The following is a 15,078-nucleotide window of genomic DNA, read 5'->3' as shown; positions in this document are numbered from 1 at the left end:
CAGATGACCTGGTTCCACATGGACTGTCAGGACCTGATGGCCCAGCTCAGGCTGGACAAGACCTCAAGGGTCAGTCCTGGGGACCAGCGCCGCCTCCACCGCTACCTGCAGCGACTGGCATCTGAGTTCCCTGCTGAGAAGCTCGCAGCCGTGGGGCTGCAGGTGGCCTCCCTGAGCCGGGCAGGCCTGGGCCAGGAGCTATGGGAGGAGGCCCGGATCAGGCATGAGGAGATCCGGATGCTCCTGGAGAAGGCACTGACCCACAGCTCTTGCCCAGAGGCTCCAGCTGCTCACTCAGCGCGCCCAGAACGAAGAGGGGTGGCAGCCAAGGGCCAGGGTGTGAGTGTAGAGGTCACTTCCAAGGGGAGGTGGGATCAGCCTCCACTAGACTCACTGGGCATGGACCATTTGCCAAAGTCCTATTGGCCTCCTGGGCCCCCCAGAGGGGAACAGAACAGAACTTTCCAGGCAGGCTCTCCACCCCAGGAAGCTGGCCAGGCTGCAGAGGCTGAAGACGGCAAAGGCTCCCACAAGCTGCCTGACCCTGCCCGCGAGCATTTGCTTGCCACCACCTTCTTCCGGCAGCAGCCCCCCAGGCAGAGCCAGGTCCCTCGCCTCACTGGGGGCAGCTTCTCCTCAGAGGGGACAGACTCACAGACATCCCTTGAGGACTCACCCCAGACAAGTCCCCTTGCCTCCCTCTAGCTGAGAGGCCCCTTCAGTCGCACCAGCCTCCAGGAGCACTGGGCCAGGGCCCAGCTGGAGGGGTAGCTGGGAGCTCTGGTCAGTCCCAGTGAGACGTCACCATGGAGCACTGGTTTTACATTCTGCCTCTGCTGGGAGGATGAGAACTGTCGACCTGCCCCTGGCTCCAGAAAACTCCTGGAAGACCCGATCTTCACCCATGCAGAATAGCAAGAGTGGGCGTCAGAACCAGGGCACAATAAATGGTGTGATTGGCTCCATCCCTCCAGGCTCTCATTGTGGAAAGACCTGTCGGCACAGACCCCTCCAGAGGTCTCGCTCGCAGGCAGGCAGACACCCACCTGCAGCTCAGGAACATACACAGCTCTCCCCTCGGGTACGAGGGCCAGTGTTGCCCTTAGGCAGAATCCTCGGGGAGATTCGGGAGTGCTTCCTTGTCTTGGATTCCAGGAAAATGGACCCTGAGATGAGGATTTAAGGATCAGTGTGTTTGGTGCTGATCCAGGAACCTCTGCTGGGGGAGTAGGAGGCGAATCTGCAAAGGGAATAAAGAGTATGTTGTCAAGCAAATTTTCTTTTTTTTAATTTTTAAAACTTCATTGTATTTTATGTTTAGAGATGGGGCCTCACTACATTGCCCAGGCTGGTCTCAAACTCCTGGGCTCAAGTGATCCTCTTGCCTTGGCCTGCCAAAGTGCTGGGATTGCCTTTTCCGCCCACCCCCCCCGACCCCACCAGAGACAGGGTCTCACTCTGGTGTCCAGGCTGGAGTGCAGTGGTGCAATCATAGCCTTAAATTCCTGGGTTCAACCAATCCTCCCACCTCAGCCTCCTAAGTAGCTGGGACTACAGTTATGCACCACCATGCTCAGCTTATTATTTATTTATTTTTTGTAGACATGGGGTCTTGCTATGTTGCCCAGGCAGGCTGATCTCAAGCTCAAGTGATCCTCTGGACTCAGCCTCCCAAAGTGCTGGGATTATACGTATGAGCCACTGTGCCCCACCCTCATACAAATTTCCATGTTGGCAACTGTAGCTGGATCTTTCTGGAGATCTCTGAAAGACAGCATGGAATCCTTGAACACCCCCTGAGGCGTGAGGCATCCAGAGCATTTATCTGCCAACCCTCAGGAGCTGGCACTCGTAGACAGCACGCACAGCCAGCTCCATTGGTCTTGGCAAAGAGAATTGCCTCCTGGAGCCAGAGGCCGGTTCCTGTGCTTAGAAAGGAAGGACATGTCTTCTGTGCTCCCTGTCTCACAAGGCCTCTTCAGCAGGCATGGGACCTTCATTCTCAAGTTCAAGGAACCCTGTGGAACCTTGTCCTTGTCCTCCAGAGAGAATCCTCTCCGCCTTAGAGGTCCCTCCTCTCTCTCACCTCCCCACCAAGCCTCCCTGAACTCAATGTCTTCTGTCCCCTTCCCTGCCCAACTTCCACTTCTCTATGCCCAGCCTCTGTGGCCCAGTACCATTGGGGTTCTGTGGGCAGCTGGGTCCTGGTGGTTGGGGACCGTGGGAAGGGGCCTATCTGTCGGATCTTAGATGGAGCATCCAGAAGCCCCACCCTTCATACTGGCCAGAGTGGCCCCTGCCAGCGCCTCTCTGGAGTGTCATTAAGCTGAAAGTGTTTGCCTTACCTCTGCAGTAGGATGCATTACTGAAGTGGCCTCTTGGTCACCTAGCTCTGAATTTTCCTGGCTCCAGAAAGAGGCTGTGGGGCACAGGTCCCCCACAATGAGGCTGTGAAGGGGAGAGAGGCAGGCCTGGGCCAGGCACAGGAGGACAACTAGGGCTTCTCAGGAGCTGTCTCAGCCAAGAGTCACACACTTGATACCTAAAATGGCTTCAGGAATCTTCCAAGACTGAAGACTTCCCCAGGTGTGGTCTAGGGCCTGCCTGCCTCAGAGCCATGAGCAGAGCCGGTCAAAAGGCTTCCTAGGGAATCCTACCCCAGACATTAAAATAGACTCTTGGTGCTGGCAGGTGGCTGGAATCTGCGTTTGTAGCCAAGTGCTCTTCCTGTGTGACTCAGCAAAGTGGGGGTGCATTTGGGGAACACCCGGGGCTGGGGCCTGAGTCCTCCACCCAAAGCCAGGTTTGATTCTTGCATTCCCCTCCCTGCCTTCCATCCAGACAGGCCCAAAGATGCAAGAGGCGTTGATCAGCCCATCTCCATCCATGCCTGTTGCCTCAGAGAGGGCCGACGGCTTTTAAAATGCTGTTGCCATAGCAACAGCATCCAGCCAGTGGGTACCACAGGCAGGGAGCCACAGAAACTGGGGTGCTGGGATGGAAACTGACTTGTGAGAGACCACAGCTACTGCTAGAAGGAAGGGGGGCAAAGCGGGCACAGGTAATCTAAGAATACTTGGGCGGGAGGAGTCCCCAAGGTTACCTTGTGCATCCCTCTGTCCCCAGAAAGAACTGTACCCCAACAATCTCTCCCCTCACTGCATCCCCTGGGGAAGAAGGGAATGCAGAAATGAAATGTCATAATGAGTAACAATGTATAAAAATATCGAATAATAACAGCTAACATTTCTTTTGCATTTTCTTTGTGCCTAGCTTTGAGCTAAATCCTCTAAAAGCTTTACAGGGCTTGTTGAATTTTTTTTACAACATTATGAGGACTGATTCCACCCTATTTTACTGAGGACAAAGCTGAAACTCAGAGAGATTTGGAGGTACCTTGCCCAGTGCCACAGTGAGGGGCAGAGCTGGACTTGATCTGGGCCTAGTTTATTGACTTTGCCCAAATATGCCCACAGTAGGGGCATGGCATGGCATGGCCTCCCCCAGAGATTCCCTGCGAGTGATGACATAGCTTTGAATCAGCAAAGCCTCAGCCCCTGAGAGACTGCTCTGAGGAGGCAGAGGCCACAGTGCCCCTCCATGGGATTTTTAAACAAAGTTTGAAGCCTGCTGTGGTGGAAGAAGATGGGCTTTCAAGGAACCCCAAGTCAGCCAGTGATGTGACTGTCAACATCCCACTGTGATGGGAACACTTTTTTCAAGCTCAAGGGGCTGGTAGGCAAGAGACAGAAAGAGAAGCACAGCCTGGAAGTCAGGCACTTCAGGTGCCACTCTGCCCTGTTGCTGATGGCCTGGTCACCCGAGGCAGGTTGCTTCCTCTCTCTGGTGCTCAGTTTACCCCATCTTTCCAATGGAGGCGTTGGATGGATGAGGATCTTTCTCATCTTGGAGAGCCCTGCTTTTGAATCCAGGCTTAACAGCCTAGTGCCTCTGAGTAGATAGGTGCTCCTCAGTTTTTCCATCTGTCCACTGGATTTGCCAAGCCTGCTGGGTCAGGAAAATAAGATCTCTGGATCCTTGTGTTCCACACCAAGACTTCTTCCTTTCCAGAGGAGTAGCCATCTTGTGAAGGAACAAAGCTTTGAAAAGACTTTTCACTGCTGGGCAGTGATGTGGGGCAGACATAGGACTGAGCCCCAATAGAAGTCTAGGCACTTTACAGTTCGCAAAGCACTTTTTGTCCATCTATTTCCCATCTGATATTTACTACAACCCTTTGGGTCACAGAAGTCATACTCTGAGATGGCCCCATTTTACAGATGGGAAGACTAAAGCCTGGAGAGGGGCAATGACTTGCCCAAGGTCACACAGCCAGGAAAGGGGCCAAGAAGGGGAAAGCACAGGGTCTGGGCCTGGTTCTGGATCAATGCCAAACCCAGGATTGTGGATGAGCGTGTGTTTTGTCAGCCACTTTGAGGTAGGCCCCTCACACCCTTGTGACACAGACAGGGTGGCTGTCACACCCACTTTAGACCCAGACAGGGTGGCTGGCTGGGGTCAGAATACAGTCTGACCTCATAAAGCAGAGATGTCCTGTTCTCCAGGGGCTGTGAATTGGCCTCCAGCCCAGGACAAATTTGCCTCGTCTCAAACCCCAGCTGAAAATAGCTCTCTGAGGCCAGAGCCAGAGAGTCCCCTGTAGGGTAAGTGCTCTGGATAGGCGGCAGGACTCTGGGGGTCCCATTGCCCTCTGCCTGGGGCATGCTGGGGAACTCTGGGTAGTCAGGTACTTCCTTAGGACCTCCTTTCCCCATCTGTGAAATGGAGGGATTAGGTCAGACCAGGAAGGAAAACTGGTGGTGTTTTGCATGTGGAATCTCTGACCTGCCCTTCCAGTCCTGCTTCCCTCTCTGTGCACTGACCATCCATCCAGGTACCCAGGCTGGAAACTTGCAAGTTGTCCTCAAACCTCCCCTTAACCCCTAAATCCACTCTCCTGATCTCTCTGTTATCTTCTACTTCTCTCTCCCTCCATCGTCCTCACCCTCATCCCAGCCTCCATCCTCTAGCCCCAGACAACTATAACAGGGTCCGCAGTGGTCTTCCTGCAGTCACTTGGATCCCCTTCATCTGTTCTCCACCCAGAAACTAGAGGGGTATTTCAAAATGTAATATAATGTCAGCCCCGCTTAACCCTGAACAGTAGCACCTCATAGCTCTCCAGATAGAAAATCCAACCTTTCTGTGATCTACAAAGCCTGTGTTGTCAGCCTCTGCCCTCCACTTCAGCCTCATCTCAATCTCCATGTCTTCTGAGTTCCAGAAGCACTAACTTGTTTTCATTTCCTCAGCCATTCCAAGCTTTTTCTGGGGTCAGGTTCCCCAGAAGTGGACCTAGGGGTGAGGATTCAGGTACAGGTGATTCATTGAAGAGGTGATCACAAGAGAAACCAGAAAGGCAAGCAGAACAGGGAAGGGAGGGAAGCCAAGGTGCAATTTCAGACCAAGTCCCTGCCTCTGCCTGACTGCGTGGGGGAACTCTGGAGGACATTTTACACCTCCAAGGCACTTCAGGCTTTCTGCAGAATCATGTGGCACAAAGCAGAGTCTGGTAGCTCCAGGGCAGACCTTGGAAGAGAGTTGCAAGTGTGGGCCCATAAAAGATAATATTCTGTATCAATAATATGTAAAAAGCTCTCACAGCTAAATACTACTATTAATAATAGTAAATTTTAAACTGGACAAAGGACCTGAATAGGCTTTTCTCCAAAGAAGATGTACAGATGGCCAATAAGCACATGACAAGATATTCAACATTACTGGCCATCAGGGAAATGCAAATCAAAACCACAAGGAGATATTGTTTCACATCCACAAAGATGGCTATAATAAAAAGACGTATAACAAGTGTTGGTGAAGATGTGGAGAAATCAGAACTCTCATACACTGCTGGTGGCAATGTAAAATGGTGCAACTACTTTGGCAAGCAGTTTGCCGGTTCCTCAAACTGTGAAACATCAAGTTATCATATGACCAAACAATTCCATTACTAGGTCAATACCCAAGAGAAATGAAAACATATCCACACAAAAATTTATACATGAATGCTTATTGAGAATTATTTCTGATAGTCAAAAAGTAGAAGCAACCCAAATGTTGATTAGCTGTTGAATGGATTTTTTAAAAACGGATTTTAAAAATATACACATAATGAAATATTATTTAGCCATTAAAAAGGAATGAAGTCACTTCCTAACATTTTACGAAGCCACTCTTATCCTGATATCAAAGCCAAATGTGGACATCACAAAGAAAATTACTAAACTTATGAATATACCTCATGAATATAAATGCAAAAATCCTCAACAAAATGCTAGCAAACCAAACATGACAGCATCTTAAAAGGATTATACAGCATGACCAAGTGGGATTTATTCTCGAAGTGCAAAGATAGCTAAACATAAGAAAATCAATCAGTGTAATATGCCAAATTAATGGAATAAAGGAAATTAAACCACACGACCATCTTAATCAATGCAGAAAAGGCATTTGACAAAACCCAATAGCTTTTCATGATAAAAACACTCAGAAAAATAGGAATAAAAGTGAACATACTCAACATGATAAAAGGCATTTATGAAAAACCCACAACCAACATCAAATTCAATGGTGAAAGACTAAAAGCTTTCTCTCTGAGGTCAGGAGAAAGACAAGAATGCCCACTTGCAGCACTGCTATTCAGTATTTTACTGTAAGTTCTAGCCAGCGCAGTTAGACAAGAAAAAGGGGAAAAAGGCATCCAACTGGAAAAGCAGAAGTAAAACTATTTATATATTTAAAAGATCAGATCTCATTATTTTATATCTCAAAAATCCCAAAGAATCCACACGAAAGCTACTACAGCTAATAAATTCAGCGAAATTTCAAGTTAGAAGATCAACACACAAAAATCAGCTGTGTTTTTATATACCAGCAACAAACAATTCAAAAAGGAAATTAAGAAAGCAATTTCATTTACAACAGCACTAGAAGAATAAAATACCCAGTACTAAATTTAACCAAGGAGATGAAAGATTTATACACGGAAACCTACAAAACATTACTGAAAGAAATTAAAGAAGACCTAAATAAATGGAAAGACACACTATATTCATGGATAGGATTGTTAAGACGTCAATACCACCCAAAGCAATATATAGGTTCAATGTAATCCTATCAAAATTCCAACTGCTTTTTTGTCCAGAAATAAAAAGCCACTTCTCAAATTTAAAACAGATTGCAATAGGCCCCAAATGGCCAAAACATCTTGGAAAGAAGGCCAAAGTTGGAGGACCCAGAGTTTTCAATTTCAAAACTTACTGCAAAGGTATAGTAATCAAAACAGTGTGGTACTTCCATAAAGATAAATGTATGGACAAAGGAATAGAATTTTGAATCCCAAAATAATCCCATGCATCTATGGCCAATGATTTTTGACAAGGGTCCCAAGTCCATTCAATGGAGAAAGAATAGTCTCTTCAACAAATTATGCTGAGACAATTGGATTTCCAAACATAAAAGAATAAAGTTGGACCCCTGCTTCACACCATATTAAAAAATTTACTAAAAATAGATCAACAACCTAAATATAAGAGCTAAAACTATAAAACTCACAGAAAAAGCCAGGTGCATTGGCTCACGCCTGTAATCCCAGCACTTTGGGAGGCCAAGGCAGGTGGATCACGAGGTCAGGAGATCGAGATCATCCTGGCTAACACGGCGAAACCCAATCTCTACTAAAAATACAAAACAAAACAAAACAAAAAAAATAGATGGCCGTGGTGGCGGGTGCCTGTAGTCCCAGCTACTCGGGAGGCTGAGGCAAGAGAATGGAATGAACCTGGGAGGCGGAGCTTGCAGTGAGCCGAGATCCCGCCACTGCACTCCAGCCTGGGCAACAGAGCGAGACTCCATCTCAAAACAACAACAACAACAACAAAAATCATAGAAAAAAAGTAGGGGTAAATCTTAATGAGCTTGGATTTGCCAATAGATACTTCTCAGATATGACACCAAAAATACAATCAACGTAAATAAAAATGGATAAATTAGACTTCATCAAAATTAAAATCTTTAGTGCATCAAAGGAAATTATCAAGAAAGTGAAAAGGCAACATATAGAATGGGAGAAAATATTTGCAAATTGTATATTTGATGAGTTTAATATACAGAATATGTAAAGAATTTATACTACAACAACAAAAAAATACAACCCAATTACCAACTAGGTAAAGAACTTGAATAGTTATTTCTCCAAAGAAGATGTACAGATGGCCAACAAGCACATGAAAAGATACATCACCAGTCAATAGGGAAATGCAAATCAAAATCACAATGAGATACCATCTCATAGCTACTAGGATGGCTATGATGTTTTAAATGCAGCAAATAACAAATGTTGGCAAGGACATGAAGAAATTAGAACCCTTATACATGGTTAGTGGGAATGTAAAACCGTGCAGCTGCTGTGTAAAACAGTTTGGAAGTTCCTCAAAAAGTTAAACATAGAATGACCTAGCAGTTCCATTCCTAGTTACAAACCCAAAAGATTTGAAAACAGAAACTCAAAGAGATTCTTGTATGCCAATGTTTATTGCGGCATTATTTACAATAGCTCAAAGATGGAAATAACCCAAGTGTCCATTAACAGATGAATGAATAAACAAAATATACACATATAATTCCATTTGTTTTATATAATCACATTTTGTTATATATATATATACACACACGCACACACATACAATGGAACATTATCTTGCCACATAAAAAGGAATGAGTTCTGATACACACGACATGGATGCACCTTGAAAAGATTATGCTAAGTGAAATATGCCAGACACAAAATGACCAATATGTATGAGTCCATTATATGAAATAACTAGAATAGGCAAATTCATAGAGACATTAAAGTAGTTAAGAGGTTGCCAGTGGCTGAGAGGAGGTGGGAATGGGGAGTTATTGCCTAATGGGTAGAGAGTTTCTGTTTGGAGTGATGAAAAAGTTTTGAAAAGAGACAGTGGTAATGGGTGTACATTGCAAATGTAATTAATGTCACTGAATTGCACACTTAAAAACAAAATGGTAAGTGTTATATATATTTTACCACAATAAAAACTGTTTAAAGGAAAGAAGTACTGACACCTGTAATAATATAGATGACTTTGTAAACATTATGCTAAATGAAAGAAGTTAGTCATAAGAGACTACATATTATATGTCTCCATTTATAGAAATGTCCAGAATAGGTAAATCTATATATGGAGAAAGTAGGTTAGTGGTTGCTTAGGACTGGGGATAGGGGAGGTGGGAGGATATGGCAGTGATCCCTCGAGGATACAGGATTTCTTTTTGAGATGACAAAAATGTTCCAAAATTGACTGTGGTGATGGTTATACATATCTGTGAATATACTAAAAACCATTGAATCGTACACTTTAAATGAGTGAATTGCATGGTGGATTGGCTATATCTCAAAATAAGTTGTTTAAAATACACAGACATACACACACAGAGAAGCCAGAGGAGGGAAGCACAGCAACAAGAAGTGATCATAGGGTATCTGGGTGTAGCACTGACAGTGTCTGCTACAAGCTCTTTCTCATCTTAAGGCTTCAGCCTTGTCAACTAGCTAAGCCCTCCTTATCCTTCAGATACCAGCAAGAGGTTCAGCCTTTCCTGACCACTCTGAAGTGGTCAAAATCCTCTTTTGTTAAAAACCAGGTACTTCTCCTTCATAGCATGTATCTCGATTGCCATTTTGCAATATTTTATTTAATGCTTATATCCCCTACTAAACTGTGAGTTTCATGAGAGCAGAAATTGAGTCTACCTGTTCAATGTATGTTTGGCACAGGGAAGAAACTTAACAAAGTTTGTCAGATGAATGAATGAAAGGATGAATGCCAAATCTTTTCGATTAGTAGGGGCTGCCTACAGCACCTGGTTGGCTCAGTAAGAAAGAATTCTATGTTTGATTAATGATGTCTGCCATGGGTGCTGGCAGGGATATAAGTAGTAGATGTGCCCTAAATTTGCTATCCTTGAACTAGTAGAGCCACCCCTCAGGGTCCCCTATCAGAGGGGGTTCAGGTCTGCCTAGAAACAGAGTCTCACCTCTCCCCCAGCTCCCAGGAGAGGAGTGCAGTTGTCATCCCAGCCGGCCTTGCTAATCAATCACACAGCCACGCAGAGCCCATTAGGATTTGTCACTGAGCCACATCCAGGTGCGCCAGGCAGGAGCAGGCAGGCTCATTTGCATCTCATCTACATGAAATTTGCATACACCTCCGCAGCCCCCATCTCCTTGCAATTTTTAAGTTAAAATGTCATTACCGCTCCTGTGAAGCCTGTTATTTCTTGATTTCATTCTCCCTGTTCCTCTCCCCCCACTCCCTCCTATGCCTTAGACACTCAAGCATGGACTGGGAAAAAGGAGGTAGGAGTTTGAGCTTGGGTTCTGCTGCTGATTCACCGGACTGCCCTCTCTGGGCCGTGTCTGTGGCTCCAGGCACAGGGGCAGGGTTGTGGCTAAGGGAGCTGCCCTTCTAGCAGCCACAGGAAGGCTAATAGGAACTTAGCCACTCGGTGTTCGCCACACTAAGCACCCGATTCTCTGCCGCCAAAGCCTTTGCCCATGCTGTACCCTCCTCCTGGAAAAGGCTTCTCCCTTTTCTACATGTCAAAGTATTACCTATCCATAGTAAATGTCCAACAACCTCCACCCATCAGTTCTGCTTCTACCGTGCCACCGGCCACTGGTTGTAGGCTGACTGGTTGAGGCGATAGACACGTGACTCAAGGTAACCAATAAGATTCTTTTTTCCCAGGATTTGGCTTTGGGAATCAGAGATGCTAGGTGGGTTCTGGAGGGAGCATGTGCGGAGGACCACTGTGTCCAGCTATGTCCGTAGAAAACAGAAAGGTGGTCCCCACTGAGGAAAAACCAAAGCTGACAGGCTCAGAGCCAGACTCAAGAGGCCCAGAGGCAGCAACGGCCCTGGCTCGGGCTCAGACCCTTCCCTCCACCCCCAGGTCAGGCTGCCCTGCTCGCTAGGGTTCCCCTGGTCACCCCCCTGCCCCTAAGCCTCCACTTCCATCCTCCATTCATGCTTGAGCAAGCTCTAGGGCTTCTGTTCCTGGCCTGGGTGGAGCAATAAGCAGATTTAATGTGAGCTCAATGAACTTTTTGGGGGAAAGAACTTGATATTTGACATCCCAAAGAGACCATTGAAGTCATGAAGATAAAAAGCTGAACTTCAGTGAGCTCTTATGTAGTTATACTGAGAAAAGGGAGCACGATAAGCTCTTTAGAAACAGGTGTTTCTTAGGACCTTAATCTTGACATGATTATGACCCTGCCCAGGGGCCACCTCCAGGAAGCCCACCCTGATGCCCCTACCCAAGCCTCTCCTACATCTCCGAACCCCACAACCCTCGGTGTGTCCTTCATGCCCAGCACTCAGTCCCTTAGCCTGGACTTCATTCCCCGCAACACTGTGAGTAACCCCAGGGCAAGGCCATATCTGAAAGTGTGAGGTCTGCCTTTTTCAGCATAGTTAATAATCACATTAATACAAAGTAATAACGACCTCTTATTTACTGAGCATATATGCTGTGCCAGCATTGTGGGTCATTTACCCTGAGTTATCTCTTTTTGTTCCCGCAACAGTTCTACGGGGGTCAATTGGTTCTATAGATCAGGAAACTCAGGGTCAGAGGGAATAGGTAACGGGTCTGAGCTCATACAGCCCTTACATGGTAGGACCAAGATGCAAACTCAGCAGTCTCATTTCAAAGTATGTCCTACACGTAGACTTGAATTCCCCTAGGAGTGCCCCCTGACTTGAGGAATTCTCAAAAATATACCTGCCCCGGAACACTTTGGCCCTAACCTGTGGCTGATGCCTGAGTGACTGACATTGGTGCGTCTAGTACTTGGAGTTAGGCAATGACTATTGCAGTTGTCAATAGAGAGACCAGACATCCCTACTTGTCTTGGCCAGTCCTGGTTAATGCTAACAATCACCACATCATTATTAATAGCTCTCCAAATTGTTCTGGTTTGGCCAATAAATGACATGGTCACCCCACCCATCTGGTGTGTTTCATTAAGAACAATGTCTCCCCAGGCATGGGTGGAGGGTAAGGGTAGATCTGGTGTCCTCCACACCCCTGAGCAACAAGACTGGAGCTAGGAAGTCCCAGGCCAGGGCAGCCTCAGGGCCGATGGGATGTGGGGATGAGTCATGGCGACTGTCTGATCTGCTGAGATCTGCAGGGAGGAAGCCGCTCACTCGTGCCTGCTCCTCCATGGTTCCCACGCATCCAGCTCACCCTGGGGAAGGAGCTAGGGTCTAACTGCAGCTTCTGCTCCTCGCCTCAACCCCTCTGGAAAGGGTGGCCTGGTTTCCTCTCTGGGCTTCGATTTGCCTATCTGTTAAAATGGGGACAATTGACCAGGCACAGTGGCTCATGCCTGTAATCTCAGCACTTTGGGAGGCCAAGGCGGGTGAATCACTTGAGGCCAGGAGTTCGAGACCAGCCTGGCCAACATGGTGAAACCTCGCCTCTACTAAAAATACAAAAAAGTAGCCAGGCGTGGTGGCGCACGCCTGTAATCCCAGCTACCCTGGAGGTTGATGCACAGGTGGAGGTTGCAGTGAGCCAAGATCACACCACTGCATTCCAGCCTGGGCAAACAGAGGGAGACTCTGTTTCCCCACCCCCCCCCCCCAAAAAAAATGGGGACAATTATCCTGGCTGCAGCTGCTAGGATAGCTGGGGTTGGGAAGTCTGTGGGGCCCACCTGCTTCCACACTTGCCAGGAACTCCTGACAACATAGCCGGATTCAGCCAGGGGCCCTGGGAGTTCTGGTTGCCAGTGGCCTGGGTCAGGAAGCTTCCAAGCACTTGAACAGGGCTGGGGGTATGCTAGCATGCCAGCACTTTCAGGGAGGGCCGCTTCCCACCCACAAAACGTGCCCCTGAGTGCAAGTGCCAGGCTTGGGGTCTTGTCCCAGCTCCACCATTCATTCTCTAAGTCACATATCCTCCTCTGGAAATGGGGGTGACAGAGGAGTCCTACCCTCTAGCACTGTTGGGGGGTTCTGTGAGGTGAAGCACTGGCATGTGAGTGCCATGAGTGGGAGGTGGCATGATTATTAATATTAGACCCTTTTTGTTTTGTTTTGTTTTGCTTTGTTTTGTTTTGTTTGAGACAGAGTCTCACTCTGTTGTCCAGGCTGGAGTGCAATGGCGCTATCTCGGCTCACTGCAACCTCCGCCTCCTGGGTTCAAGTAATTCTCCTGCCTCAGCCTCCCAAGTAGCTGGGATTATAGGAATGTGCCACCACACCTGGCTAATTTTCTTTTTTTTCAGTAGAGACTGTGTTTCACCATGTTGGCCAGGCTGGTCTCGAACTGCTGACCTCAGGTGATCCACCCGCCTTAGCCTCCCAAAGTGCTAGGATTACAGGCATGAGCCACTGTGTCCGGCCTAGACCCATGTACATACAAGGGATTCTGAAGCCCCAGAGGCCTCTGCTGGACTGCCTCAGTGGAAGAGGCAGGGCCCTGGGTTCTAGTCTCAGCTCAGCCTCTGGCTTATTGTGAGACCCCAGCGAGTCCCTCCCTGTCTGGAGTCCAGGGCTCCTCCTCCAACTCACTCTCATTGCTGGGGAGAGGATCAGATGGTGGAGGAGGTGGAATTCAGGAATGAGCCAGGTCAGGGAGCCATTGTTAATTTGATTGGGGGCTGCTCAGGCTTTCAGATCTCCCCGCAGAGCCTCGGCAACTCTGACCTCAGTGATTCCTTCCACTCTGCAATCATCTGCGGCAGCCGCGTGACCCTGGTGCACCCCAGCCTCTGGCGGGGACCCCATTCCACCCAGCTGCTCTGTGAAGGCCTCTGCTCTGGGGGTCCATGCCAGGACCCCAGCTCCACCCTCCAGCCCACCACACATAATCACATCCTGTGGCTTGGGAGGCATTTCCCAGCTAGTTTTGTCTCAACATTTCTCCATCTGCTTGGCCAACTCTACTGTAAATGCTGGGGTCACCAGGGCTGACGTGTGGGTGGGAGCTGTTTGCTTATGTTTCCTTCATTTTTTTTTTTTTTGAGACAAAGTCTCACTGTGTTGCTCAGGCTGGAGTGTAGTGGCACAGTCTTGGCTTACTGCAACCTCCGCCTCCCAAGTTCAAGCAATTCTCCTGCCTCAGCCTCCCGAATAGCTGGGATTACGGGCACCTGCCACCATGCCTGGCTAATCTTTTTATTTTTAGTAGAGAGGGGGTTTCACCATGTTGGCCAGGCTGGTCTCGAACTCCTGACCTCGTGATCCGCCCACCTTGGCCTCCCAAAGTGCTGGGATTACAGGCATGAACCACCGTGCACCCGGCCCTCCTTCATTGTTTGTAAGAAAAAAGGCTTAACTCTGACTGAGAATACAGTCCTACTGCAGCAATGGCTCAGGGTTACTTTGGAAGGAGACCCAGGATTAAGCATGGGCTGGTTTTGACCAGAAAAGGCTTGGATGGGTCTGGAGGGAGGGGTCTGAACAGCTTGGGCTCCCAGTAACAGGGCTGATGCTGCCTTGAATCAGTGAAGCAAGGTTCTAGGCCCAGACTCCACATGGGGGCCTCTCACCATGAGCATGGGGTAGATTGTATTGGCCATAGTTGGCCACAACATCACCCATCCCATATGGTTTTCTTACGCTGTGACCTTGACTCTCCTTCTATTGAGCAGTGGGGGTCTATGTTCCTTCCCCTTTGTGACTGTCTTGACAATAGAGTGTGATGGAAGTGACAACATGTGGCTTCCATAGCTAGGTCATAAAAATGCATTTCCACCTAACTCTCTTGGAGCCCAGCCACCATGCTGTGGGGAAGCCCAAACAGTCTATGCAGAGAGACCCCTCAGAGGGGCCACGTAGAGGTGCTCTGGCAACAGCCCAGCTGAACTCCCAGCTGACAGCCAGTGTCAATCCTCAGACCTGCAAGTGCAGATGCTTCCAGATGATTCCACCCTCCAGCCATTGAGTCACCCTTCAAGTGTTCCCAGCTGACATCACGTAT

The 15,078-nt window shown here is 48.0% G+C and overlaps 1 protein-coding gene across 8 annotated transcripts in view; it reads left to right on the top strand.

The window, feature by feature from the left end:
- Positions 1-3,244, top strand: part of KIAA1755 — a 50,233-nt gene extending 46,989 nt beyond the window's left edge. For all 8 annotated transcript variants that reach the window (NR_145960.2, XM_024452013.2, NM_001348708.2 and 5 more), the window contains one exon: positions 4-3,244. Coding sequence is in view for 7 of the 8 variants with exons in the window: in XM_024452013.2 (XP_024307781.1) it covers positions 4-705 (702 nt within the window). In the remaining variant the exon portion in view is untranslated. The remainder of the gene's footprint in view (positions 1-3) is intronic.

Source organism: Homo sapiens, chromosome 20, assembly GCF_000001405.40.
Source record: "Homo sapiens chromosome 20, GRCh38.p14 Primary Assembly".
Classification (NCBI taxonomy): domain Eukaryota; kingdom Metazoa; phylum Chordata; class Mammalia; order Primates; family Hominidae; genus Homo; species Homo sapiens.
This window is presented reverse-complemented; position numbering and strand designations above follow the sequence as displayed.